The 25,901-nt window shown below is 65.0% G+C and overlaps 1 protein-coding gene, 1 long non-coding RNA gene and 1 other non-coding gene across 14 annotated transcripts in view, besides 6 other annotated features; 1 reads left to right on the top strand and 2 right to left on the bottom strand.

Annotated features, from left to right (window-relative positions):
• Positions 1 to 24,626, bottom strand: part of CEP170B (centrosomal protein 170B) — a 32,235-nt gene extending 7,609 nt beyond the window's left edge. For 2 of the 12 annotated variants that reach the window (XM_005267550.5, NM_001112726.3), the window contains exons 1-12: positions 23,626 to 23,871; positions 20,584 to 20,715; positions 12,794 to 12,883; positions 11,176 to 11,254; positions 10,638 to 10,696; positions 8,714 to 8,852; positions 6,307 to 6,411; positions 5,631 to 6,104; positions 4,590 to 5,308; positions 3,597 to 3,770; positions 3,009 to 3,099; positions 1,161 to 2,864 (exon numbers count right to left, since the gene is read on the bottom strand). In XM_005267550.5, coding sequence (XP_005267607.1) covers positions 1,161 to 2,864; positions 3,009 to 3,099; positions 3,597 to 3,770; positions 4,590 to 5,308; positions 5,631 to 6,104; positions 6,307 to 6,411; positions 8,714 to 8,852; positions 10,638 to 10,696; positions 11,176 to 11,254; positions 12,794 to 12,883; positions 20,584 to 20,688 — 3,739 coding nt within the window. In that variant the 5' untranslated portion in view covers positions 20,689 to 20,715; positions 23,626 to 23,871. The other 10 variants (XM_011536665.3, XM_047431286.1, XM_047431287.1 and 7 more) reach the window with 10 other exon arrangements.
• Positions 5,907 to 6,814: an enhancer, noted in NCBI's record as "H3K4me1 hESC enhancer chr14:105348662-105349569 (GRCh37/hg19 assembly coordinates)". NCBI's record gives its function as "activates a minimal SCP1, AML or CMV promoter by ChIP-STARR-seq in naive H9 embryonic stem cells {active_cell/tissue: H9 hESC(naive)}" and the evidence as "EXISTENCE:reporter gene assay evidence [ECO:0000049][PMID:30033119]".
• Positions 6,815 to 7,723: an enhancer, noted in NCBI's record as "H3K4me1 hESC enhancer chr14:105347753-105348661 (GRCh37/hg19 assembly coordinates)". NCBI's record gives its function as "activates a minimal SCP1, AML or CMV promoter by ChIP-STARR-seq in naive H9 embryonic stem cells {active_cell/tissue: H9 hESC(naive)}" and the evidence as "EXISTENCE:reporter gene assay evidence [ECO:0000049][PMID:30033119]".
• Positions 11,381 to 11,939: an enhancer, noted in NCBI's record as "H3K4me1 hESC enhancer chr14:105343537-105344095 (GRCh37/hg19 assembly coordinates)". NCBI's record gives its function as "activates a minimal SCP1, AML or CMV promoter by ChIP-STARR-seq in primed H9 embryonic stem cells {active_cell/tissue: H9 hESC(primed)}" and the evidence as "EXISTENCE:reporter gene assay evidence [ECO:0000049][PMID:30033119]".
• Positions 12,623 to 12,808: a silencer, noted in NCBI's record as "fragment chr14:105342668-105342853 (GRCh37/hg19 assembly coordinates)". NCBI's record gives its function as "represses an EF-1alpha promoter that drives an FKBP-Casp9 reporter gene in an ReSE screen in phorbol 12-myristate 13-acetate-treated (for megakaryocytic differentiation) K562 erythroleukemia cells {active_cell/tissue: K562(+PMA)}" and the evidence as "EXISTENCE:reporter gene assay evidence [ECO:0000049][PMID:32094911]".
• Positions 18,221 to 18,270: a silencer, noted in NCBI's record as "silent region_6205". NCBI's record gives its function as "represses an Ori minimal core promoter by ATAC-STARR-seq in GM12878 lymphoblastoid cells {active_cell/tissue: GM12878}" and the evidence as "EXISTENCE:reporter gene assay evidence [ECO:0000049][PMID:35858748]".
• Positions 21,866 to 22,841: an enhancer, noted in NCBI's record as "H3K27ac-H3K4me1 hESC enhancer chr14:105332635-105333610 (GRCh37/hg19 assembly coordinates)". NCBI's record gives its function as "activates a minimal SCP1, AML or CMV promoter by ChIP-STARR-seq in naive H9 embryonic stem cells {active_cell/tissue: H9 hESC(naive)}" and the evidence as "EXISTENCE:reporter gene assay evidence [ECO:0000049][PMID:30033119]".
• Positions 23,728 to 23,825, bottom strand: MIR12121 (microRNA 12121). The gene has a single exon (NR_162135.1). It is a non-coding gene; the product is annotated as a microRNA 12121 (primary transcript).
• LOC124903397 (uncharacterized) lies at positions 23,990 to 25,643 on the top strand. Its single transcript, XR_007064367.1, has 2 exons — positions 23,990 to 24,366; positions 25,185 to 25,643. It is a non-coding gene; the product is annotated as an uncharacterized LOC124903397 (long non-coding RNA).
• Positions 25,644 to 25,901: the final 258 nt, after the last annotated feature.

Here is a 25,901-nt window from a genome sequence, read left to right as displayed (position 1 = left end):
CACAGACAGGCAAGGACCAGTCAGAGCGCAAGCAAGGCCACTGCAGTCCCTCCCTGCTGCCTGCTTGAGTTTGTCAGACCCAAAGCTTCAGGTTCCGCCCTCCTGGGCAGAGTCCTGGCCTCCTCACCAGCCCCTGCTCTAAGCCTGGCAGCAGCTGCGCTCCTGCACTGTAGCGGGGCATGATGGCGAGCCGCATGCTTGGGTCAAACACCACCAGTGCACCACGTCGGGTAGGGACAGCAGGCTCCACCAAGCAGGGGTGACCCTCGGCCCCGCCCCACCCCTTCCTCCAGCGAACCCTGCCTCAGCCTCCAGCCATACGCAAGGCCTGCCCAGTGCAGCCAGCAGTTGGGGTGGGGCTGTGGGAGGATGCTGGGAGTCAGGAAAGAGGCTCCACTGGGATCGTGGGTGGGTAGGTGGGTGCACAGGGCAGAAGGCAGTAGCAGCAGCACCTTGACCTCAAACCAATCCACTCGCAGGACAGCTCAGCTGCCTCGGCGGGCGGGGTGGGCCCCGCTCTGCAGACGCGGATGTCCGGCCACCCCAGGTAGGAGGCCAGCTCTGGTGGCCACAGAGGACCATCCCCGCTTGCTGTGCCCATGGACATCTGGGGGGCAGGGCAGGACTCTGCTCACAGCCCTCCCTCCCTCCCTGGTCATGGGGCCTGCGGGCTCAGAAGGGTGTTAGAGCAGCTACCAGCGGAGGGCACAGGTGTACTTGGCACCCTTCACTGAGCCACAGTACTGCGGCAGAGATCCATGGGACAGCCCTCCCCAGGCCTAGGGCCTCAGGCCCATGGGCAGATGGCGTGGGGACCCAAAGGCACCAGGGGCCTGAGCCAGGAGTACAGGAAGAGTGGGGAGGGCCAGCCTGGGCTTCGGGGCCCTGAGGCACACCCTGGGGGATGGAAGGCCCTCTCCACGCCAGAGATGGTCAGGGTGTTCTACCCACACCAGGGGACTGCGGGCCCTGCCCTCGGCCCATGCACGTGTGTGTGTGCACGTGAGTCCAGCAACACATCTACCCCAGCTTTGGGAACAGAGGCTCCTCTCGTGCCAGGACCAGGGGCCCACGGCCAGCACTCAGCTGGCATCCAAGATGCTGCAGACCCACTGGCAGCCCTGTCTTGGCCCTGGCCTCCCACCCGCCCTGGCACTCACTGGAGGTGTATCGGGCACTGCCTGAGCGGGCCCTGCTGAAGGGCTGGCGGGGACCCGTGGTGGTGGCTGTGTTGGCAGCCTTCCTGGAGACAGCCCGTGCTTCGGCCATGGTGGGCTTGCGGCTGGCACAGCACAACTCCACACTGCGGCCAGAGAAGCTGGTGCGGGCAGGGGCTGCCTCGGGGTCACTAGTCCCTGTGAAGGAGCCGGCCCGCTTCCGGGGCATGGCCAGGATGTCCAGGCGTGACAGCTTCTTGGCCTGCTCAGCAGCTGGCCGGCCCACGGGCTCAGGGTTGCCCAGGGACCCCCGCTCACCATCCGCAGCCTCAGTGTCTGAAGCGTCCCCCAGCCGGGCCCGCCTCAGCCGGGAGGCCCGTGTGGGGCGAGGGGTGGACAGGCTGTTGGAGCGGGTCAAGGCCTGCGGCCCCTTCTGGGAGCTGGCTGAGCTACGGCTCTGCTCCTCCCGGGCAGCTGGGGATGGCGGTGGGGCCGCTGGTTTCCGGCGAGAACCTAGCCGTCCTGCCCCGGTGGCCTCAGGGGTTTCGTGGTTGGAGGCCATCACATCTGAGCTGGGTAGGTGGGCGAGGACAGGGCCACGCTCCTCACTGGGCCAATCCAGGGACCCTCGGGGCCTGTGGCCACGCCTTATGGCTGAGCGCCGTACCGGCTCTCCACGGCCCATGTCCGTCGGGCCAAGTGGGTGATGCTGCCTCTCTGAGGACTGCTCACGGGCACTGACCAGGGCGGTGCCTCCCGGGTCCTGTGCAGCTGGCGGGGATGGCGACATCTCCTTCTGTGCCCGCAGAGGCTGGGGGGTTGTGGGGCTGGGCCCGCTCTTGCCACTACGCAGGCTGACGGTGCTGGCTGTGTCCACGTCCGAGTCCCCAGACAGGGCGTCCTCCGGCGGCCTCGGGGTGCTGCCCCCCTCACACTCGGCATCCACAGAATTAGAGAGGAGTCGGGCCTCCAGGGCCGCCAGGGCCGTCTCCGTCTCCTTCAAGATCAGGTGGGTGTCCTGGGAGTGGAAGTCCATGCGTGCGGCCCGGGTAGCGGCCAGGTCCTGTAGAAGCGGGTGGCTGGAGATGTGGGGGGGCTTGCCGGGCGCTGGGGGACCACTGGCTGGCTCCTTAGTGAAGCTCTCTTGCCGGAGAAAGGCTGGGGCAGGGCCGTCGGGTTCTGGGGACCGTCCAGGCCGTAGCTGGATGACCATTCTCCCATTGGCACTGACATAGACGCCATCCCGTGCTGGGGGGCTGGGCTGGGCTGTCTGCCCTAGGCCCTCCCCATCCCCTGGAGCCGCAAGCGGTTTCCTAGATAACACAGCGTCCCCATTCTGGTCCCCAATGAAGAAAGAGGCGGGAGTTGGCTCCCCGGGGGCCCTTGGTGAGCGCCGACCCCTGCTCCACGTGGGCCCCTCCTGGGGGCTCCTGCGTCTGCTGTCCTGTGGCTCCACCCCTGGCTCGGGGCCTCGGCCCCCGTCCGACCCACTGGCATCGCTGAGGCTGTCAGGATCCAACTCCTCCTGGCCGAAGAGGCGGCTGGGCTGCTCACTGTCCAGCTCCGGTGGCCCAGGCCCACTCCTCCTGCTGCTCTCTGGGCCCGCAGGGCTGTCAGCCCTCTCACTGGGCAGCTGAGGGAGCCGTCGCCGCATGCGCACAGGCAGGGACCCCTCCGGCTCCCCGCCTCTACGTCCCAGGCCATCCTCTGTGGAGCACAAAGGCAGCCGGTTAGAGGGCCGCTGGTCTGCAGGCCCTCCACGCTCAGGAAGAGGCAGCCTGTGTCCGTGGTCAGTGGCCTGAGGCCCGCCCCGGCCTGGCCCGACTCCCCCGCAGCACTGGAGCCACTTACCTGTGAGGCCCGGGTCTGAGTAGCTGTCAGCCAGGCTGGCCCAGCGGGACACCCACTTCTGACCCCCAGGGGAGCCCGGCACCGGGAGGCCCTGTGGAGAGGAGGGTGGGAGTGTTTCCACACGCAAGCCCAACGGCGAGAAGCAGGGGGTGCCAGGGAACAGGAGGGGCGTCCAGAGCAGCCAACACCAGCCCCACGCATGCGCGCCACCCAGGGCCTGCCGCATGAGCAAGCGTGCCCCTGCAAAGGCAGCCAGGGATCCCAGTTGCCTCGCCTGGACTTGCTCCAACGCGACCCCCTGCCTGCCCAGCCCAGGCAGCCTCACAGAACTCAGTTCCAGGTTGGCAGAGCAGCCGTGGCCCTGTCCTGACCTCAGAGCCCGTTTTGCCCAGGACCTCAAATCAACAGTGGGCCTGACACCTGGCCCCGATCCCTCCTCATGGAAGCCCCAGCCCACCCTCCTCTGAGCGTGTCCCTCAGAGGAAAGTCCAGTCTCGCCCCATGGGGGGCCCGCTGACCCCAGGTCCGGCTTGGATGCTGCCCTCTTCCTGCCCAGCCCCTCCTTGGGGTGGCCGTCTGTGCCTGTACCTGGTGCTCCGCCTGGGGGGCCGCACCCAGTGGCCGGGAGGCAAACTCCTGCAGTAGCGCCATCCGCTGGGCCACGCCCCCGTCATCAGACTCATCTCTGTCCCCTCTGATGACTGGGCGAAAGGTGGCCGAAGATGCCCTGGAGAGTTCAGGGGACTCCAACACCCCAAAGACCTGCCAAGAGGAAATGGTCCCAGGCACCGAGGGTCAGAGAAGCCCACCTCCCAACCCTCCACTGACACTGGCCACCCCCAGGCCACAGGGAGAGCAGGGACCTGGTTGGCCAGAGTGGCTGGTGGCCGGGACATGCAGCCTGGCTGTCAGCAGGACATGCGGATGGGATACGGACCCAGCCCTGGGAAGGGGAGGGGCGGGGCTGTGGGCAGCATACCAGGCTCCCTCCTGCCCAGCTGGGCCAGAGGCAGGAGCCAGGGCTGGGCCGGAGCAGGACAACGTCCGCCCACCTCCACCCCCGGCATCGCCTCCACCCCCCGTTCCCCACGAGTACTCTCACTCGCCACCCCCGGCATCGCCTCCACCCCCGATTCCCCACGAGGGCTCTCACTCGCCACCCCCGGCATCGCCTCCACCCCCCGTTCCCCACGAGTGCTCTCACTCGCCACCCCCGGCATCACCTCCACCCCCCGTTCCCCACGAGGGCTCTCACTCGCCACCCCCGGCATCACCTCCACCCCCCCGTTCCCCACGAGGGCTCTCACTCGCCACCCCCGGCATCACCTCCACCCCCCCGTTCCCCACGAGGGCTCTCACTCGCCACCCCCGGCATCACCTCCACCCCCGGTTCCCCACGAGGGCTCTCACTCGCCACCCCCGGCATCACCTCCACCCCCCGTTCCCCACGAGGGCTCTCACTCGCCACCCCCGGCATCGCCTCCACCCCCCGTTCCCCACGAGGGCTCTCACTCGCCACCCCCGGCATCGCCTCCACCCCCCCGTTCCCCACGAGGGCTCTCACTCGCCGCTGGGCTGCACCTGGTCGATCATCTTCCGGGCCTCCTCCACCTCCGTGTCCTGCGCCTCGGTCTCGATGGTGTATGTCCCTGCGTCACTGAGGCTGTCGTCCTCCTCCTGTTTCCGTGCCTTGGTCAGCTGGGGGTCCGTGGGGGCGGGCGGTGGGGTCGGGGGGCCCACGGGGCTGGTCCCATGGGGTGTCAGGGGAGCGGGCAGCACCGGAGGAACCTTCTCGGGGCTGGGCCGGGCGGCCGGGGAGCTCTCCCGCAGACACTGGGCCATGAAGTCCTGGGCCAGGCGGGAGCGGCGCCCCACGCTTCCGAAGGGGCGGGCAGGGGTTCGGGAGGCGGGCGAGGGGCTGCCCAGCCGTTCCTCTGTCTTCTCCCGCTTGAGCGAGCCGGCCCTCTGTGGCCCCGAGCTGCGGCCCCCTGCCTGGACTGGGGCTGGGACACTGGGGCGGTCCCTATCGGCCGGCGTTGGGCCACGGCGCTTGTCGGCCTTGGGGTCCCCGGACGGGCTGTGCGTGAAGGACTGGGAGCGCTTCTTTCGGGGTGTGTCCTCGTCGAAGAACTCGATGACAAAGGCCTGCTGGTTATGTAGTAGCTCCTGGGGGTCCCGCTTGATCTGCCTCTGCAGCCGCACCTGCTCCCCGCTGGCCTCCAAGGGCACCCCAGCGGCCGAGGCCGCCTTGGCCAGGGGGTCCTCTGAGTCACTCTGCGTGCCGTCCTCGTGCTTGTGGCCTGGGGGAGACAGGGGACCCCACCTTGTCAGGCCGAGAGAAAGGAAACAGCTGTCGATCTCAGGCAGCCTCATCACCCCATGCCTTAGCTGAGTTGACAAAGCACCCCAGCCCTCAGGGCCCCCCCACACAGGGCAAAGAAGTGCAACGGGAAGACGCAGGACCGGACTCCTGACCAGGCAGGTGGCTCTTAGGCAATTAACTGAAAAATGGGAAGTCAACCCAGCTGAATGGGCCCCTCTGCATGGCAACAGTGCAGACCCAGCCAAAGTCCGGTCCCCTGCCTGTCCCGGGACTGGCACGGCCGCCAGCTGGGCACTCACCCTTCAGGGTGCGGGTGTGGACAGGCAGGTCGCTCTTGGTGCTGTGGCGGTCATCCCCAGGGCCAACCCGGTGCAGCAGGCTCGGGTCATTCTGCACCAGCCAGTCGGCCACCTTGGTCTCAGCCGACACCATCTCGCCAGGTGTGGCCTCCTTGCCCGGGGGCCGCCGCTGGCGCAGGGAAAACTTGGTGATATGGTCCTTGATCTTCATCTTGCCAGGGCTGCAGTCATCAAACTCGATGGTGAAGGAGGCGTGGCTCTGCACCACAGGGGCCGCTCCGCCCCCACCTGCCTCTGCATCCTTCGTGGGCATCTCGTGTGCCGGCACCTCGGGGGGCTGCGACGGCTGCGGGGTCTCCTTCGTGGGGATCTCGAAGTAGCTGGGCTCCCGCCGGAACGAGCAGCCCTGAGGCTCAGCAGGGGCGCGGAAGCCGTGGAGCTCCCCGTCCTGCTGCACTGGTCCCTTGGGGCGCTCTGGTGTGGGAAGATGTCTTCAGACCGGGCCTCAGGGTAACCACCTGCCACCACCCTCCTCAGCCAGGACCATCCACTCCACCCAAGAGGGGGAGACAGGCCCCATGTCCCCCGGAGTGGGCTCCTCAAGCCCAGGCCATCCCCTTCACACACCACCCTCTGGGAGCCCTCAGGGTCTCACCAGCCTGGCCCCAAGACCAACCTGGGTAGGGCTCTCCCTGGCGCTGGGCGTCAGGCAGCGTGCTACCATCGTCCTCACCCCACCAGGAGGGCTGCCCATACAGGGGTGTGCGGTAAGAGGCTGCCTCTGTGGAGGGAGCGAGAGGTCAGACCCTGTGTTGCTGGGGCCCCCAGTGTGAAAAGCAGAGAACTGGCAGCCCAGGAGAGGCTGGACTCTGGGGCAGGCCCTGGCATCACCTCCCAGCTTGGCCCTGTGGCAGCCCAGGGCCCCGCCTCTGTGGGGAATGTTGACTACCTTGAGTTCCGAGGTGGCTCACTGGCCCCTCCCTGCCTGGCCCCACCTCCTCCCACAAGTGCTTAGAGGCTCCCTGCCTGCCTGGCCCCTCCTCCCTGCCTGGCCCCTCCTCTCTCCCCTCTGATGTACTCAGAGGCTCATCCCCTGGGGCATGGTGGGGGCCCCCCACCTCCGTCCTGCAACCCTGCCCCGGCCTTCCCGACCCCAGAGCGCATCCAACAGAGGGCAGGAGGCCAGGGGGAGCCCACACCTGGGTCCAGCCACCTCCAAGGCTGGTAAATGGTTCAGGCCACAAATGGGTGGCCCTGGGGGTGGGCAGCCACTGCAATCTACATGGTCCCTGCGGCATTTTAGTTTGTTTGCCTTAATGACCAGGAGGGAAATTGTATATTTCAGATAGAATCTCACTCCTGACTCCCTCTGAGAAGCCGGCAGCCCAGCCCTTCCTGATGGCAGCAGTGAACAGAAGCAGTGTCCAGTGCCCTCAGGTCAGGGCGCTGGCCCTCATGCCCACAGTCTCCTTCCTGGGCCCTCCACCCAAGCTCTTTCCATCCTTGCGGAAGCCCAGGGGGCCTCTGCGTCATGGCCCCCAGCTGCTTACACTGCTGGGGGGCCAGAGGGTCTGGGGCCAGTCACCCGTCAGGAACCATGTGCACACTGCGCTGGGGCCAGTTACCCATAGGGAACCATGTGCACACTGCGCTGGGGATGCAGGGCCCCTGAGATGTGTCACACACGCCTTACCCCTCCCTGGGGACTCCCTCTTGACCCAGGGACACACCCAGGGGCTGCTGAGGCAGGGGCATCTGCTACCAGGCAGTCCCCATCTGCTGCCGGCCCTGAACTCCTCCTTGGTCCCCACAATGTGCTGCCCTCGCTCTAACGGAGCCAAGGAGCCAGGCTGCCCAGCTGGCTGCACCTGTCATGACCTCCGGGACAGCCCCACACTGGCTGTCACCAGCTGCATGTGTTTCACAGTCTGGACACTGACAGGTGCTCTGGGGAGCTCAGATGGCTTTCTGGAAAGCTTCCCAGTCCCCAGCGGTCTTCCATTCTGGGCGGACCTGCATCCCAACCAGACACCGGCAGCTGCGGCTGTACAACACAGATGTGTGGGCTGACAGCAGAACACAGCAGACATGGGGCCAAAGCTGGGGGTGGCAGGGTGACCCCTCCTGGACCGAGGTGGGAGCCGAGAGCCTGATCCCCGGATACACCCCTGTCTAACCAGAACTCAAGTCTGGGGCCTCAGGCTTGGATACCCCACCCCGACCCCTCCACACCCCACCAGGCACTTTCTCACTCTCGCTCCTTCCCTTCCCTTTGTGCCCACCGGACCCACGCGGACCCTCGTGCAGCTGTCCTCCTCCCAGACTTCTGCCTACCCGCTGCACTGACTGCCAAAGGCGCAAATCAGGTTTCATCAGAAACCACCAACCCCTGAGCCCTGCTGGCTCGGTCTGCAGAATCCAGTCCAAATGCCTGATACTAGGGAGCATAGCCTCACCCCCCCATCACCTGCCTCTCACCACTGGGGACAGAGGGTGCCCAGCTGGTGGCCCACCAACCCCACAAGAACTGTGGGCTCAAGGGGTGCAGGCGTGCACAGGTAGGTGTGCACAGGGGTGAGCAGTGTGGGTGTGCATGGGTAGCTGTGTGTGTGGGGTAAGAGGTGAGGGATGTGGGTGTGCACAGGTAGATGTGTGTACAGGGGTGGGGGTGTGAGTGCACAGGGGTGAGCAGTATGGGTGTGCATGATAGGTCTGTGCACAGCAGTGAGAGCTATGGGCATGTATGGGTAGGTGTGCACAGGGGTGAGTGGTGTGGGTGTGCATGAGTAGGGTGTGTATAACGAAGATGCAGGCATGCATGGGTAGGTGTGTACAGAAGTGAGGGGTGCAGGCATGCACGGGTAGGTGTGTGCAATGGGTGAGGAATGTGGGTGTGCAAGGGTAGGTGTGCACAATGGGTGAGGGGTGTGCATGTGCAAGGGTAGGTGTGTGCAAAGGGTGAGGGGTATGGGTGTACATGGTATATGCATGCAGAGGGTTAAGGGGTGCAGAGAGGCAGGTGCGGGGCAGAGGGCCTGGCAGTGGCCCTGTGTGCTCACCCCATCCGCACTGCCTGGGCCTACCTGTTCCTGGTCTCCGGTCCCCCTTCTCCGGCCTGGGGTTCGAGGCCTCGCAGTATGGTGTGTGTTCCGGCAGTGCCTCGCTCCTCTTGGGCGCCAAACCCTTCACGCTCACCTGCAGCTGGCTGGTGTACTTTTCATGCTGTGGGCAGGCCAGGCGGGGTGAGGTACTGGGCCCAGCCTCAGGAGGAACCCACCAGGGTGGGCCCAGCCTCTCCTCTCCATCCAGAGGGCCCAGCTATGACTTTGCATGTCACAAGCTCTCCCTAATGCTCCCCAAAAGAGCAGACAGAGCCTCAGCCTGCCCAGGTAACACGGCTCGGGGTCCAGCTCAAGCCTGGGGAGGGGCAGCTTCCAGGGAAAGCAGGGGCCTGCTTGGGTGGGGCAGGACAGAGCAGGCTGCGATCATCAGAGTGGGGGCCCTGGGATGGGCAGCAGGGCCGCTTGTGCCATCAGACAGAACCTGACTCCCTTAGGCCCTGCCCCTTGCAGGCTGGGGGACCCCAGGCTGCTCGGAGATCATCCGAGGAACGGGCTAAGCGCCCTGGCCCCAAAGGGCTCCCGGGGAGCTCTGAACAGGGCCCTGAATCTGTGCTCCACAACTCCCACATGAACAAGTGAGGGCGAGGAGATGCCGTTCCCACCTAGGACCCTCACGCCCCCCACAGGGGCCCCGGCTGTGCGTGTCGCCAGCACACCGGGGAAAGGGCACGCAAGGATGCCCACCCCTGAAGGCTGCCACCGTCGGCCTCCAGCACCCTTCCTTCCTGCCTCTGGCCACCCCCTGCTGGCGGCCTCATCAATGTGCTGGGGGCAGCTGTTACCTCCTGAGGGGCTCCGAGAGGGCACCCGGCCAGGGCGGGCAGTGCGGGAGGAGATCGGAGAGACTGACAGGAACTCGGGGGGCCTTGGTCGTGCAGCGTAAAACCCTTATAAACCCTCAGCCTAAGACCTTCAGATTTCAGCCCAGGAGACCTCAGATCCCCTCACCCTAAGAAGCAACAAATCCTCTCAGCCTGAAGTGACCCCAAATCCTGCCACCTTGAAGGACTCAAATCCGTTAACCTGGAGCGAACTTAATCCCCTGGGCATGAGACCCCAAAGCACCTCAGCTTCAGAGACCTCAAATCCCTTCACCCAGAGGAACGCCAAATCCTCTAACACGTAGATCCTCAAATCCCCCGAGCCTAAGGAACCCTAAATATCTCACTCACAGAGAGACCAAATTCCCCAGCCTCAGAGACCCTAAACACTCTGTCTAGAGACTCTTAATCCCTTCAGCTTCGAAGACTCCAAATAACTGTAATGTCAGAGAATCTAAAGCCCCTTATGAGACCCCAAAGCTACTTAACCTGAGAGACACTCCCAAAAAGATGCTGGGGGGCTCAGGGGCTCTATACCCTCCTGGCCCTCTGAACGGGGCCCTCTGCTCCCAGGGAGGCTGCTGGCCCCCGCCTCAGCCCCGCTGCACTCTCCTGCAGGGTGACCCCAGCAGCTTCCTGGGCTCTGGCCACCCAGCTCACCCAATGAGCCATTTGTTCTGTGAGCCACAGCTAAATCCGCCAGTGCCCAGCGATGCAGCTCCGAAAGCCCAGGAGCTCCAGCAGGCTGACCATGCAGCCCGGCTCCTCCCAGGCCCCTCCCAGAGCCCGGATGCTGCTGCATCCACAACAGTGGCACCCGCGTCCCGGTGCCCCCGCCACCTGTCACTGCAGCAGGCTGGGGGTAATGACTACCTTCCCACCTGCCGGACTGGGCCATCTGGCAGGGCAGGACAGGCTGGCCTGACTCATGGCACCCGCAGCCTGAACAGGGCGCCCCAGAGGCCTGGTGAGTGTTTGCTGGGGAGATGGCAGCGGGAGCATGGTGGGGAGGATGGGGGGCTGAGCCCTCGTGGCTGAGCCACCCGGGCTTGGCCAGCACTAACCTTGAGTGCCTCCTCCGGGACTCGGTGCTGCACACGCTCCAGCACATACATGTTGGAATGTGGACACGTGTTAAGGCGAACACAGAGCAGAAGAGCCAGGAGCCCAGCGCTGAAGTCCACGCCCAGCAACAGGTGTGCCAGCTCAAGGGCCCATCGAGGCAGGCAGAGGAGGGGCCTCTTTCTTCCCGGGGAGGCACAGCCATGCCCACCCATGTGCTCAGACAGTCCCAAGGTCGGGCCAGGACTCGGGGTCCTAGGGAGTGGTCACCAGTTCCCCAGGCCCCATGTGACCTCAGGCTGGGTGGGTGGGCAAGCAGCAGGTACCCGTGGCCAGGGTGTCCACGGGGGGCCGGGCTGCAGGGACTGGCATTCCTTGGGGTGCTCCATCAGCAGGTGGAGCCCAGCCCTAGGGTCATCCTTGGTGCTCTGTTACCCAGCAACCCCAGCAGTGACAGCCCTGCTTCTGGAGTAACAGGGTGACTGTGGTCCTGGGGACTGAGAAGAAGCCCAGGAGGAGGGACGCTCAGGGGCAGGATATCGTAGCCGAAGCGGATGACATCGTTGAGCTTCAGCGTGACGTACTTCTGGTCCGGGATGCGCATGTCATTCACAAACGTCTGCAGGAAAACAGGTGGCGGGGGGGGGGGGGGAGCTGCGCGGGTGGGTGGCTGTGGGCAGGGCCGCAGGGTGGTGGGGCTGAGCAGGTGGGTGGCAGTGGGCAGGGCCGCGGGGGCACCAACTCTCTGGAACCCACGGCGAGTGATGGCCTGTGCAGCACTGTCCCAGGCACCAGCCCCAAGTTCCACAGCCATGGCAGGGGCACCCAGACACTGGGGCCCACCCAGCACTGCAGGGACCATGATGGAACCCTCCAGAACAGAACTCTTTGAGCATCTTTGTGAAGTGGACTCCAAGAGATGCTTCCTCTCACCCATACAGCCTCGTGCTGGCCCCAGCCCCCACCTTGGCCCCATGAGCCCTTGGGAACAGTCGAGGCAGGCCTGCCCTGTGGTGGCCCTTGGCCAAGGGTCAGGCCTCAGAGGGTCTGATACCCCCCTCCAGGCTGCCTACTGGCAGGAGTGTTGATGCACCAGTCCCACAGGCAGGTGGGAGGCAGGTCTGTGGGCATCACAGGCCTCAGAAGTAGCCAACCATGCAGGGCCCAGGAGCACGGACTGGGACGGTGCCATGCAACCCAGGCCAACAACCCCGGGGACCCTCTCAAAGCCCATGTGGGTGACGCAGTCCACACAGGCAGAGGAGCGGCCACTTGCTGTGCAGCCATTCAGGGACAGCCGCTTCATCAGACAGGCATGCTGCGGGAGGAGGGAGCTCAGGACAGACCCCAGCAGCCTGAGACCCCCTGGCCGGAGCTCCTTGAGGGGCTGCTGAGGGGCTGCTAGGGCCCCCCAGCTCAGGACTGCAGAGTGCAGTAAAGATAGAGTGTCCCAGGACAAGCTGGAGTCCGCCAAGCGCAGCAACAGACAGAGACATCCAGACAGGGACCTCAGGGACAGACACACGCCCCCAGAGAGGGGCCTCCAGCCTTCCTGCCTGCTTCCACCCCATACCCCATTCCTTTCACCTGACCCCCCAACCCTGCTCTTGCAGCCAGGGGTTCCCTCCGGGTTACCTTCCTGCCCCTGCCACCCCCAACTTACAGAAGAAAGGATCACATGGCTCCACCCATACCCAGACTGGGTACCCAAGCATAGCTCCTTCCATTTCAGGGGCCCCATTCCCCAGCCTAGTGCTTCCCTTCCCATCTGCAGGGTCCACTCTCCCTGAGAGCAGCCTGATCCTTGGCGGCCTGAGACCCTGCCAGGGGGAGCCTTCTGGGGAGGCCTGGGGGCCTCTGTAGTTGGGGATGGGGCCCGATCTGGGAGAGGGGCCAGATTTTGGAGAGGAGCCAGGGCTGGGGGAGGGGCCAGGGCTGAGAGGGAGGGGCCAGGGCTGGGGGAGGAGCCAGAGCTGAGAAGGAGGGGCCAGGGCTGAGAAGGAGGGGCTATGGCTGGGGGAGGAGGCAGAACTGAGAGGGAGGGGCCAGGGCTGAGAGGGAGGGGCTATGACTGGGGGAGGAGCCAGAACTGAGAGGGAGGGGCCAGGGCTGAAGGGTCGAGCTGTTAAAAGGCCAGGCCAGGGCCTCTCACACTTACCCCATTGAGGCTGCCCAGGTCCTTCACCCAGTGCTCGTCCCTGTCCTGGTCGTAGTTGATGACGGCATGCTGCTTGTCCACGCTGCGGGACTGGAGAGACACACAGCCAGCCCTCAGGTGCTCCAGGGGAGGAGGTGACACCCAAGAGGCAGAGGCACCCCTGCTCCATCCCCTGCCCCAGCACAACACCAGCAGTGGCCCCCAGGCCTCTGACCACAGAGCTGTGCCCACCCTGTCTCCAGAGCAGGATTCGCCAAGATGCCAGGGCCACGTCCCCCACCCTCTGCTGCTGCCCCAGGCCTCCCCTCATGACCGCCCTCCCCAGAGATGCTCCCCGCTGGGCCGTGGGAGTGCTGGGAGCCCTCTGGTCATCTGGCACACGCTGCTCCCTCCCAAGGTCAGGTGGCGGCAGCCAGGCTGGCGGTGAGGGGGCTTGTCTCAGGGAGCCCTCCCCCACTCCTGGCCCAGCCCCACAGGAACACACACAACTCTCAGCCAGTGTCCACACCTTTGGTGCTCCCACTCCAAGTGCTGCCGACCCTTTCTGGGCCACTAGCCCACCCAGGACCACCCCCCCGGAGGACAGGTGCCCTAGTGCCCTCACAAGGTCAAGCCCGGTCGTCCAATCATAAGGCCACAGCCAAGCCCCCATCACTGCCCCACTGGGGCATGGGGAGACGGAGGCAGAGGCGAGTCACTTTCTACTTGCTTAAGCGCTGCGAGCACGGCTGCTGCCCACTCGGCCTCCACTCCACACAGCACTGCGAGCACAGCTGCTGCCCACCCGGCCCCCAACTCCACACAGCGCTGCAAGCACGGCTGCTGCCCACCCGGCCTCCACTCCACACAGCACCCTGTGCTGCCTGGGGCTCTGGGTGGTGGCTCCATCCCTCCTGCCCCCAAACCTCAGGAGCCACAGGCCTGGGGATCCAGCCCCAGGAAAGGCCAGCAGAACCAGCCGACCCAGGGAAGTCACCGAGTCCTGGCCCAGACAGCGTGTGACCCTCGCCACCACCTAGGGACCATCCAGGCAGCACACCCACAAGACACCAGGCCAGCTTCCACAGGCAGCAATGGGCCTGAAGGAAGTCCCCCAGCCCTGGGACAGGACGGCCTGCAACCCACACGACTAGGAGCTGGAAGTCCCTCCTGAGTGCCAGCACGGCTTCTCAGTCTCCCAGGTGAGAGCCTGGGCCCCTCAGGCTGGTCACTCTTAGCCTGCCACGTGCAGGCCACCCTGGCAGCTGGCCATCACTGCCCCACCACAGGGCACCGTCATGAAACACCAGTGTGGGGCCTTCCCCAGCACCCCTGGGCAAGGGCTAGAAACCCTCAGGGCAGGGCCTCCTTCCTAACTCAGAGAGGAGATCACACAGCAGGGGCTAGTTGGGGGCAAGGGCTCTGATGGCCCAGCTTGACTGAGGCCTCTGCAGAGGTGCCAGGGCAGGGAAGCTGCAGCTGGGTGGGGCTCGTGGTGGCCAGCAGGCCTGAGAGCCAGCCTCACGCTAGTGCCACTGCCACCCAGCAGTGGGCACTCAGAAGCCCTGGGTGCCTGGCTCAAGCCACGGTGGTTGCGCTGCAGAGGAGGACCGGGGGTGGGGGTTGGGGGGTACTGCAGTGGAGGACCAGGGGGAGGACTGCAGTGGAGGACTGAGGGGAGGACTGCAGTGGAGGACCGGGGGCAGGGACTACAGTGGAGGGTGGCGAGGAGCCCACCCCTCCTGTCAGGACCCTGGGTCCCCCCAGGAAGTGGGCAGGGGTGCCAGGGAGGTTTAAAGGGGAGAGTAGGGTCCTGGGTGCAGCCATCCCTGAGCTGCCTGCCCAGACACAGCCCGTGGTTTCCCAGAAACCAGGTGAGCGGCTCCTCCTGCCCCACATGCCCTCCCTGGGAAGGCGGATCCTGGTGGGGCTCCTGGTGCCAGCTCCCCTGCCAGCCAAAGCCACAGGTCTCTGAGAGTGGGTCTGACCTTGATAGCCACCACCCACCTCCAGGTCCACCCTGTTCAAATTCCTTCTCCGAAGCTGGCACCCACAGCTACGTGGCTCCTGGCCACCCCAGTGGCAGTCTCTGCCGGAGGGGTTGGGGGAGGATCCTGGCCAGGGTGGGTGATGCCAGACATCACCTCCTCCATTGGACTTCCTACCTGTCCCTGAAGGCCTCCAGACACAGGCGACCCCCAGCACTCACCTCCTCCAAGAAGCCCGTCCTGAGACCCCCTCCCCAACTCTAGGATGGCTGCTGGAGACACCTCAGGCCACTAACTGCCCCGTGGGCAGCCCTGAGGGCCAGGCCCCAGGATCCCTGCCTGAGAGTGCAGCCTGGAAGCTGGGAGGCCTGGATCTCCCTCAGGGGGTTGGGGCTCACCTACTCCCGCACCCTGTCCTGTGCACAGGGCAGCATCCCCACCTCAGCCCGCCCGACACATGGGCTCCACGGGGCCAGGGGGACCTGCTGCTGTCTCAGAGAAAGGAAGCACTGAGGCCTGGGGCCGGGCTCGGGCCCTCCCTGCCAGCATGAGACCTCCCCAGGGGATGGGGTCCAGCAGGGGCATGAAGGAAGGAGCTACTGCCCCTGTCCCCTCTGGAAAGGGCTGAGGTGGCTGAGGGCGGGTGACTTGGATGTCATCTCTGCTGAGGAGTGGAAACCCTGGAGGGGTTTCCAGCCTGGACGCCTCCCTGCTGCTCCCCTAGCCTCAGACCCGCTGGGCCTCGAGAGCTCCTGCTGGACACAACTCTGCACACCTTCCAGGTCCTCTGAGCCCTGCCCCAGGCCTTCCCTGGAGGGTTCACCCACCAAGCCCCTCTCCACCACAGGCTCCAGCAACACTGGTCTTCCTCTCGGCAGCCCTCGGTCAGCCTCTCTCTCCACAGCCCCCTTTCCCGCAGGCCCCAAAGCCTCTCCAAACCTTCCTTACCCCACCCAGGCCACAGTCAGGCTTCAGGCAGATGACTCTGCCAGCTCTGGGCACACCGCATCCTTGCCCAGGCCTGGGTCTCACCTTCAGTCCAAGCCCCCTCCCCTGCCTGCACCCACCTTCCCCACCCCACCCGGCCCACACCAGCTTCCGGCTCCTTTGACTCAGCACAGAGTCCCCCCGCAGGACCCTGTTAACACCCCGAGCCCAGCTGCCCCGCCCACTCCCAGGACTGAGCCTCCACCCCCGGCCAGGGCTTTCTCACCAGACCTGCTCCTGCCAAGCCCCTCCCCAGACTGCAGGAAGCGCTGGAGACACATGGGGAACCCCCTTCCAGAAACTCCCCTCTCCAACCAGAAGCAGCCCCTCACTTGGCCGAGCCTCCAGCCACCAATGAGAAGTGGCCCCCGGCCCAGGGCTCAAGACTTAAAACAACAGAAACCCGGGCTGTGGACGGAACTCGGTGCAGAAACAGCCAGGCAAACACAGATGTGTGGCATGGCCGGAAGACGCCCCAAACACATGGATTTTGGGGAAAGTGTCTAATAATTTGTGCTCACTTTAAAACAGAATAAAGATGTTCCCAAAGTTCACGTCTGACGCCCTCTGGGGCAACAGCCTGGCCCAGCTGTGCTGAGTGGCAGTAGCAGCAGCCAGGGCTCTGGGCACACCCTCCTGCCAGCTCACCCGAGTTCCCCATTGGCGGCCACAGGCACCCGCAGCAGACCGGCTCGATGCACGGGGCACAGAAGGTCAGGGCCTGCCCAGGCTGTGGTCTCTGGGGCAGCACGCAAGAGTGCAAATCCCAGCTGTCACACGCTCTCACGGAGGACACCTCCCCACAGACATGCAGCACACACATGCACACAACACACACAGATGTGTGCACCTACAGACATGCACATGTATGCACATGCACACTTACACACGCACACACACACGGCACACACGCACACACACGGCACACCCACACGCACACACATGGCACACACACGCACACACGCACGGCACACCCACGGCACACCCACGCACACCCACGGCACACATGCACACCCATGGCACACACACGCGGCACACACACGCACACACACGCACACCCACGCACACCCACGGCACACACGCACACCCATGGCACACACACGCGGCACACACACGGCACACCCACACGCACACACATGGCACACACACGCACACACGCACGGCACACCCATGGTACACACACGCACACCCACGGCACACACACAGCACACACACGCACACACACGCGGCACACACGCACACACACGGCACACACACGCACACACACGACGCACACACGCACACCCTGGACCACAGCCTGGGCCACCACAGGAGTGACAGCCACAGCAGGAAGTCCTGCCTGGGTCCACGTTCCTGCGTCATTTAACGCCTGTTCGCTGGGCACCAGCTCTGTGCCAGGCTTGCACTGGGCACAAGGACACTGTGGGGAGCAGAGGCAGGGCCCTGGACAGCGTGGTCCGTGGGACAGCACGTGGGTGGCAGCTCTGCCTGGAACACAACTCCCCTACCCGTCTACCTGCTGTGGTCCAAGCTACCGCCCCTCTTGCCTAGTGAAAGCCCAGGCCTCGGGCCGCCCACTCTGCTTGTCTCCCCTCCATGTCCCATCCCCGTAGCCCCAGCTCAGCTCTGTCCTCCCACAGCCTCCCCCTCCTCACCGGCCCCAACTCCTGCTGCTGCGGCTCCTTGGGCCTCAGCACAACATAGGCAGGTGTCTGCTGACCGCCCAGTCCCCAGTACCACCTTCTTTACACAGGACTGGACCCTGGACACCTTGCTGGCCCCTCTCTGCAGTGGATGCCAAGGGAGGGCAGGGTCTCTGCTTGACACCCTGCCCAGTGGAAAGATGTGGCGCCGAAAGCAAGGACTGTGGAGGGGGCGCTGGGACAGGGTGTGGAGGTTCCAGGGCAGGAAGGTCGGTGTGAGCCGGGTCCGGAGAGCCAGGGCAGGTGTGGGGAGAGGCTGGGTCCAGTGGAGGCCTGCATTCCTGTCTGTGCGTGGGGTGGGGGTGGGGGTGGCACTGAGCAGAGGGAAGGGGACCCTGGCGGGGACCCCGGGTGGAAGGGACGGAGGGTGACAGGTTTGGTTCAGCCACCGAGCTTGGGATGCCTCTGAGAGGCCCCAGTGCAGCAGCCATATCCAGTAGGAGGCTGGAAGCCGAGGACAGAGCAGGCTCCAGGCAGCATGTGGATCATCTGAGCAGAGGTGGATAGGGCCTCGGGGAAGCAGCAGCGTTCGGAAAGGGCCACTGAGGCCCCTGAGCATGAGCTGAGAGGGCGGGGGTCCTGGCGCAGGTGCCAAGGAAGTTGCTGCAGGGAGGGGCGGCAGGTGCAAACATCCTCAGGTGGGGGCAACAGAGGGGCCAAGGGGCTGGACATGGGGCTGTAGGGTGGGGGTGAGAAGCCTCTAGGGCAGGTGCACAGGGAGTGAGGGGTGACAGAGGCCGGCAGGGGGCAGCGGTGGGCAGGTAGGAGGCCGCTGCAGGGGCACCGGGAGGCAGACAGCCTTCCCACACTCGCCACACCTGCAAGGCCTCCCTGAGCCTCAGTTTCCCCATGGAGATACATCTTACAATGGTGACACCACCCACAACAGCGAGGGGTAGAAATGCAGGCCCACCCAGGCCAGGGGCGGCCACTGAGGAGAGCTGGGAAGCCCCCAACACTCCCGACCTGCTCAGGGCTCCACTGACAGGTGCAGAAACTCGGAATCGGACCCCAAACTCACCCTGAGCACCCTGCCCCCAGCACTTTTCCCCTACCCCAGGGAGAAGCAGGCAGAGCAGGCCTGGTGCAGGGGTGGGGCAGGAAGAGCACCCACACCAGTCCCCTGCCTGCAGGCTGACTCTGGCTTCTTCCAGAGGCTCCAAAGTGCCGCCGCCTCCAAGAAGCCCTCCTAGCCACCCTAGGTAGAGCAGCGCGGCCATCACTGATGCCACCCCTGTACGCAGACCATGGGAGCAACCCGCCAAATACAGCTGCGGCCCCATGAGGCAGTGGGGTATGTGGGGCGTGGCCTATGGCCTGCCGCCTGTCTTTAGATGGCTTGAGAACTAAGAATGATCTTTACACTTTTAAATGATTGAAAATCATCAAAAGGCTATTTCATGACACATGAAAATTATGGGAAATTGATACTTCAACATCCATAAATGAAGTGCAGGTGCTGCCGCGCCCACCTCGGTCGCCCACGCTCGCTCCCTGGCTGCCCCTCACCACGGCCACAGGCCTGGGCTGCAGTGGATACTTTGTGGTCCATAAAACCTAAAATCTTTACCAGGCCCTTGTAGAAAACATTTGCCGACTCCTGCCCCCAGCCACCGACTCTCTCCCGCTACCAAAGGCATAAAGAAAAGAGAAAAAAGGGAGAGAATGTTCCAGATTAAAGAACTTCAGAGCCGGAACAACCAACCACAAGGTGAGAGACCTGCTGGGTCCAGACTCAAGAGGATCAGAGGACGCCTGGGGAGAAGCTGGGATGTCTGGACTTAGTCCATCCCAGCTGCTGTAACAAAATTCCTGAGTAATGTGGAAATGGCACAAATGTATTGCTCACGGTTCTGGAGGCTGGAAGCCCGAGATCTAGGCGCCGGCCAATTTGGTGTCTGGAGAGGGCCCTGTCTCTGCTTCAAGGATGGTATCTTGAATGCTGCGTCCCCACTGGGCAGAAGGGGTGAGCCAGCTTCCTCTGGCCTCTTTTTAAGGTCCCTGATCCCATTCCCAAGGGCAAAGCCTCACGCCCTGCTCACCTCCCAAAGGCCCCATCTCTTGAAGCTACCACGCTGGAAATGAAGCTTCAACCTCCGAATTGCAGGGGACACAAACCTTCCCGCCACAGCAGGACACATGCAGCAATATCGGGTGGGGCTGCCCTGGGTAGAGGCAGACAAACACTGTCTGCCCCAGGGAATGTGCACATGGCCAGGACCCCTCACCACAGCCTGAGGCCTGCCCACCTCGTCAGAGCCTGGCATGGCCCGGGCATGTGCGGCAGTAGCACGTTGCATCCAGGAGGCAACGTCTGAGTGGGCAGGGCAGCTCCCTGCACCTGCAGGCCCCTCGGCTAGACTGGACAGTGCCATCCACCTGGGTCAGGGGCCCACGTGCCACGCTGGGGGATGAGCCAGGACAGGGAGCCCAACTCGTTCACAGGCACACGGGGTAGAGGAAGGACATCAGGCCAGGATGGGCCTATGGGGTTAGCTCACCACCCCTGCTCTTTGTTCTCAAACAGCCAGATCGCAAGCCCCACAAAGCCAAACTCAGACCTCAAACCAGGGCCAGAGAAACTTCCGATTGTCAGTGCCGGTGCTCGGCAGGCTCTCATGCCCTGAGAAGAACCCCTCATGCCTGGAGGCCGCCAAAAGGCACTAGCCTTCACCAGGGTGCAGCTGGGACCAAGATACTGGGACCCCCGCTCAGGCAGCACTCACAGCATAGACGGGGCCCCCAGACAACAAGAATATGGACAGACCGGCTTTCCAGGACCTTCCAAAGCCCAGCCTCAGCTCCCTCTCTGCAAAAGGACGCCAACTCACGCTTCTAGGGACCCCAACAACTTTGAGAACCTGACAAAAGCCTAAGCCCCCTCCTGTCAGAGACAGGGATACGTACGGGGCAGGGACCCGAGCCTGTGAGCACACACACACCCCTGCACGCACCCACGGGAGCCCCAGAGCCCTCGGTGCATCCGGGACCCAAGTTAAGAGGCCCAGCCTGGGCTGCATGGCGGCCTCCTCGCCAGGGTGGCCTGCAGCAAGTGGGGTGGGCACCTTCCTGGCCTCCACAGGGACAGACTGTCTACCCCCTACCCTCCTGGCCCCAAGCGCTCCCTGCAAACCTGTAGCATGAGCTCACACTCCTCACGCCCCACGAAGATGAGCTCCCGAGGGAGCCGGTGGCGGGCGCCGCTGCTGCTCACCAGGAACCAGGACGTGGCACTCATCTTGGTGCTGGCTGGGCCCGTCTGGCCCTGGGGAAGAGGGGATTGTTAGAGTGGGGCTCCCTGGCCTGGTTCTTAGCCCCCTGGACACATCCAAGGCCCAGCCCAGATCCTGACCCTCTAAGGGAAGCTGGCAGCTTCCGGAGAAGCTGGGCTCCAGCCTCATCAGGCCACCCGCCCTCCCTGGGTATGGTCCCGAGTCCCACTGCCAGGCCTTTGCCCTCGTGACCGGCCTTTCCCATCACGTCCATCCCTGGCAAAGGCTGCCTGGTTCTCCCTTATCCTCCAGGCCCCAGCACACCTCATCTCCTCTATCTTCCAGGTGTCAGGGGTTGAAGTTCATGGGGACACTGGCTGCACTGCCTGTAAGTGACCCCACATCCACGTGACCCATCAGGAGCAGCTCATGGGTAGGACCCAGCATAGCCCATCAGGGTCCCCATGATGCCAGGTCCACAGCACCAGACCCACCCCAAGACATACACTGAACAAGAGGACCCACTCCCCCCAGCAGGACACTCTGAGACTGAGCCCCAGGCAGGGCCTGGGGTGAGGGGCAGCAGGGACAGAGCTGGAGACAGGGGCCCTGAGTCAGCAATATGTCCACCACCGAGAGGAGGCCAAATGTCCTTTGGTGGGCATGGTGCAAGGACAGCATCAGGCAGCCCCTTCAGTGCCCAAGAGGGAAGTGAGGCTTTGGTGCCCATAGTCCCAGTGACATCAACAAAGAGGGGGTGGTCTGAGGGGCTGGTGTAGACAGGCAGGGAGCCCCGTGGCAGCCTGGGAGGTAACGGGGACAGCCTGAGTAATGGCCAGGGCTGATGTCACCCCAAGACCCAACCCTGGGCAGCCCTATACCCAGCCAGCATGCACCCTGCAAGCCCGGAGCATGCCAGCACACATGTCCTGGGCACTCCACCCCACTGCCCAGCACATCCTGAGTGCTGCTATGGGCTAGGCGGCCTGGGCTAAGCCAGCTGTGACCAAGACACAGAGTCTCAGAATCCTGGGGCTCCCTTCAGCAGGGGGCAGGCACAGAGAACAGAAACGGCTTATGAGAAGGTGCAAAGAGGGATACAGGGAACACAGAGGCAGGGCGGGGATGGGGGCTCACTGGGAGGCAGCCTCCAGGCTCAGCAGGACAGGGGTGGAAGTGAGCCCATGAACGCTTGTGGGACTGCATTCCAGGCAGAGGGAACAGCTGGTGCCACCAGGGCAGAGGGACAGGGCAGAGGGATGGAGGGCCTCACATACCCCTGGGAGTCCTGTGGCTAGTCCTGGAAGGGGATGAAGTCCCTAAAGGGCCCAGCACTGGCTCCATCACTGCAGGGCCCAGCACAAAAAGAAAACGCGGTACCCTTATTCAAAAACTGAGAAGGAGAGCTGAGCAAGATGCCACATGCGGGGTCCAAGCAAGGGCTCTGTGGGGGTCTCCAAGTCACATACCTGTGAGGCCGGCCCCAGAGCTCCTGAGTGGACATGGGGCTGTGACTCAGGAGGCCAGTCAAGAAGTGAGGACAATAACCCAGGACAGGGATGACAGCAGCTGAGGCCCAGTGGAGCAGAGGAGAAGGGGAGGCTGCCGGGCTGAGTGCATCCTGAGGGCAGGGCCACACCACATGAGGGTGCCAGGCAGAGGAGTGAGTGGCTCCTTGTCCCTACTTTGCCCAGTGCCCACGCCCAAGGTCTTCAGCTTTGAGGCTCTTCACCAGATCTCAGCTCCCTTCGGTGAGCAGCAGGGAAAACCAACACCCAGCTCCAGCTAGCATGAATGCCCAAGTGACCACGTGCCCCATGGTAAACCCTCACCTTGGGCAGGGAGGTGGGAAGATGTAGAAAAATCCTCACCAGGAGAAGGCAGCTCCAGGCAGCCAGGACCCTCTCACTCTGGGGGCCCTGCCCTTCCTAAGCCACGCACCCAGCTCCAGCCAGACAGGCAGGCACTGGAGGCCAAGGGGCTGGCACTTCGATGACCCTGCAGCCCCAGACAGCAAAGCCTCCAGGAGGCCTCTACAGCCCCACCCTCCCTAGGGCTGCTGGGGGAGACCACAGGGTGCTCTATCGGGCAGGGCCTACCCCACCATTGCACCTCCGGCCCCCAGCCAGCCCTCCTAGGCCTCACCCTCTGCCATCACCTGCCGCGGCCCGCCCTGAGGAGTCCACGGTCCCTGTTTAAGGCGAAATGAAGCCGAGCCCCAGAGCCTGGTGGTGCCGCTGTGCCAGAGCCAGGCCACCCACTGCCCCGGCCGCCCACCCTGAAAAGGCCTGGGAGCCCGCGACGCTCCAAAACGGCCTTCGGCTGCCTCGGGGCTGGGCTGGCCATCGTTGCTAGGAGGAAGAATAATAAACGCCCCAAACTTGTCCCCTCAGCCGCCCCGGCCGGAAGGGCCACAGTCAGAGGTGAGGCGGGGAAAGGTGGCTAGGCCCAGGGCAGGGAAGGGCAGCGAGCCGGGCGGGGCAGGCCGGCGGTGGAAGGAGCGCACAGGCCGGGAGAGGCAGGGACAGCGGGGAGACGGCGGCGAAGGGAAATGAGGAGAGAGGGGAGGAGGAGGAAGACGGAGGGAGGGACCGCGGGAGGAGAGACCAGGCCAGGAGGGAGGCGGCCGGGCCCGGCGGGGGAGGGAGCGGCGCCTTCTGAATCAGCGCTCTCCGGGGGCGGCCATGGCCGAGCCGGTGCCGGGGCGGGGACCCGGGTGCCCAGGCTTGCCGCCCCCTCCGCAGGCCGCGTAGAAACGGGGCGGCTCCTCCCGGCCTGGCGCAGACCAGGGCCGCCTCCGCGGCGGCGGGGACCCGCCTGACCAGGTGCGCCGGGCGGCCCCCAACCCCCGCGCCTTTGTCCGGCCTCGGCCGGGACCCCGCGCCCCGTGAGACCCCACAGCCGTGCAGGTGCGGGCGATGGGAGGCCCGGGCCGCGGCCAGCGCTGGGCCGGCGCGTCCTACCTGCTGTTCGGGCTCGGTCTCCGGCTCGCCTTAGTCCCCGGCTTGGTCCCCGGCTTGGTCCCCGGCTTGTTCCCCAGCTCGGCCCGGCTCGGTCCCTGCCCTCGCGCCCGCCCGCCCGCCCGGCCGAGCGCTGGGCGGGGCCGCCGCCTAGGACATGCCCGGCGAGGCCCGCACGCTCGTGGCAGCCCGGGCCGAGCCCACGGCAGAGCGGCCGCCGGCGGCCTCGCGCGCGGGTCCCTGACGTCTGCGGGAGGCTCAGCCCCGCCCCCGGAACGCCCCGCCCCGGGCACGCCCCCGCCCGCCCCGCCCCCGCCCGGCCGCGCCGCACCCCGCGCCGCCCCGCCGGAAACCAGGTTAGGGCGGGTCCGCGGCCGCCAGGTGAGCCCGCCCCGGTAGCCCCGCGCGTGGTCCGGTCGGCAGAGGCTTGGCGAGCCGCCATCCCGCCCCTGCCCCAGGCCCACCTTCCCCCACCGCCCAGGCCCCGCTGGCCTCCCCGGCTCATCTCGCACCCGGCGCAGACCCCATGCCCTCCCGTCTCGGCAGCGCCCCCCGCTTCGCCTCCCGGTCCGGCCCCAGCTCGACGGGCGGAACCGGGTGCGCACAGCAGCCCCGCGCCCTGGCCCAGGGCCAGCGGGTTAACGCTTAACTACGCTCCAGGAGCTGTAGGCTCCAGCCGCGCCTCGAGTCCCCAACCTTTGGCCCCGGAAGCCAAAAAGAGGAGCGGACGGTGAAGGAGTCAGGGTGAGTTCCAGAGGCCGCTCCCAGATTTTCCCTCCCGAGCCTGGCCAGACTGGGCGTATGTCCGACATCTCCACCTCTGACCCCGGGCGCTCTGGGCTGAGCTGGGGGCGATGGTGGTGGGCATCGACGCCGTCTTACCTGGACGCCCACAGTGGACCTGACCTGGCCGAGGGGTGGGGGTGGGGTTGGGAACTACGGAGGCGCTCGGGGTTCCTGGGTAAGTTCCCGCGGACTGCTCGCTCCTTGCCGGGTGCTACAATAGGCGTATCCGGTGTCCCTGGAGCCAAGCTAGGGGACGGGATCAACGTGGGGGCGGGGCAGCGTGCCCGAAGGGCATTGCTGCATTCCAGGTGTTGGGGAACGCAGTGAGCGAAGGCGTGGAGGTGAGGGAGAATGTGGAAGGCGTGCGCCCGGCCGGGGAACCCTGGGCTTTGTCCTGTGGGCAGCTGGAGCGGCTGGGCGTTCCCGGCTGCGACAACGCCCACCTGGCCCCGCACCTGGGCCTGCTCGCAATCCAGCGGCGCCTCTCCGCATCTGCCTTCACGGATCTCAGCCCCAGCAGAGCCCTTGTGCCGGACCCTGGGGCGGGATTGCGAGTTCAGAGGGAGTCAAGAGGCGCCCTTGAGTATGGCGGGAGCCCCACCCCAAGCACCTGGTGGGAACTCACTTGCCTAGGGAGAGAGCAGGGCAGTGAGCACTCCGGGCTGGCTCCCAGGAAAGACCCTCCGGCAGGAGCTTGGATTGCAAGGTTGGGGAGGAGGGAGGCCAGGGGAGGGACCTGCAGCCAGGTGATCCGGGTGCCTGTATTTCTTCCCAAGGATAATGTGAGTTGATGCTGGCTGAGATCTGCTCCGATGAGGGTTTGAAAGAGAGAGCTCCGGGTGTCAAAGTCAGTGGATGGCAAAACATGCCTGGAGGGAGCAACCAGGCATCCAACCACAGGCCCTGGGCTGGAGGGCGGGGGGGGGGGGGGGTGGAAGCAGAGGAAGGAGAGAGAAGGAAATTTGGGAGGAAGAGTGGGCACGAACTGGCTGCCCAATTGTGTGGGTGGGTAGGTGGCAGGGAGGGACTGGTTGTTCTGGGTCTGCCCCTCCGGCCCCACCACACCTGCTTCCAGGTGAGCTTAGGAATTTCCCAGGCTTCCTCCCAGCTGGAGCCAGACGTGTCCCTCAGAGGCCCCAGCCCTGCCCATCCTTTCCTGCCCTACCCAGGGCTTCTCTACCTTCTTGGCTTGGCCTGCTCCTTGTTCACACCTTGGTAAATGACCCTTCACAAAAGTCATTTTCTCTATTTGTGCTTTTCTTTCTTTTGCCAGGACGCTTGACTTTCTCGACAGGGAGGGGGAGGCAAGCCTGGTGCCCAGTGCTCTGCCTGCACTGGTCAGTGCGCGTGGCTGTCACTTGGCTGGGAAGCTAGGCCAGGAGAGCAGCTGCAGCTGTGGAGGTCGGCAGTTGAGAGGTGGAGAGACCTGAGCACACTTGGGCCAGTCGTCCCGTGGCATTTGGGAGCCCAGGACCGAGCCGGGGGGCAAGTGT

This window comes from Homo sapiens, chromosome 14, assembly GCF_000001405.40.
Source record: "Homo sapiens chromosome 14, GRCh38.p14 Primary Assembly".
NCBI lineage: Eukaryota > Metazoa > Chordata > Mammalia > Primates > Hominidae > Homo > Homo sapiens.
This window is presented reverse-complemented; position numbering and strand designations above follow the sequence as displayed.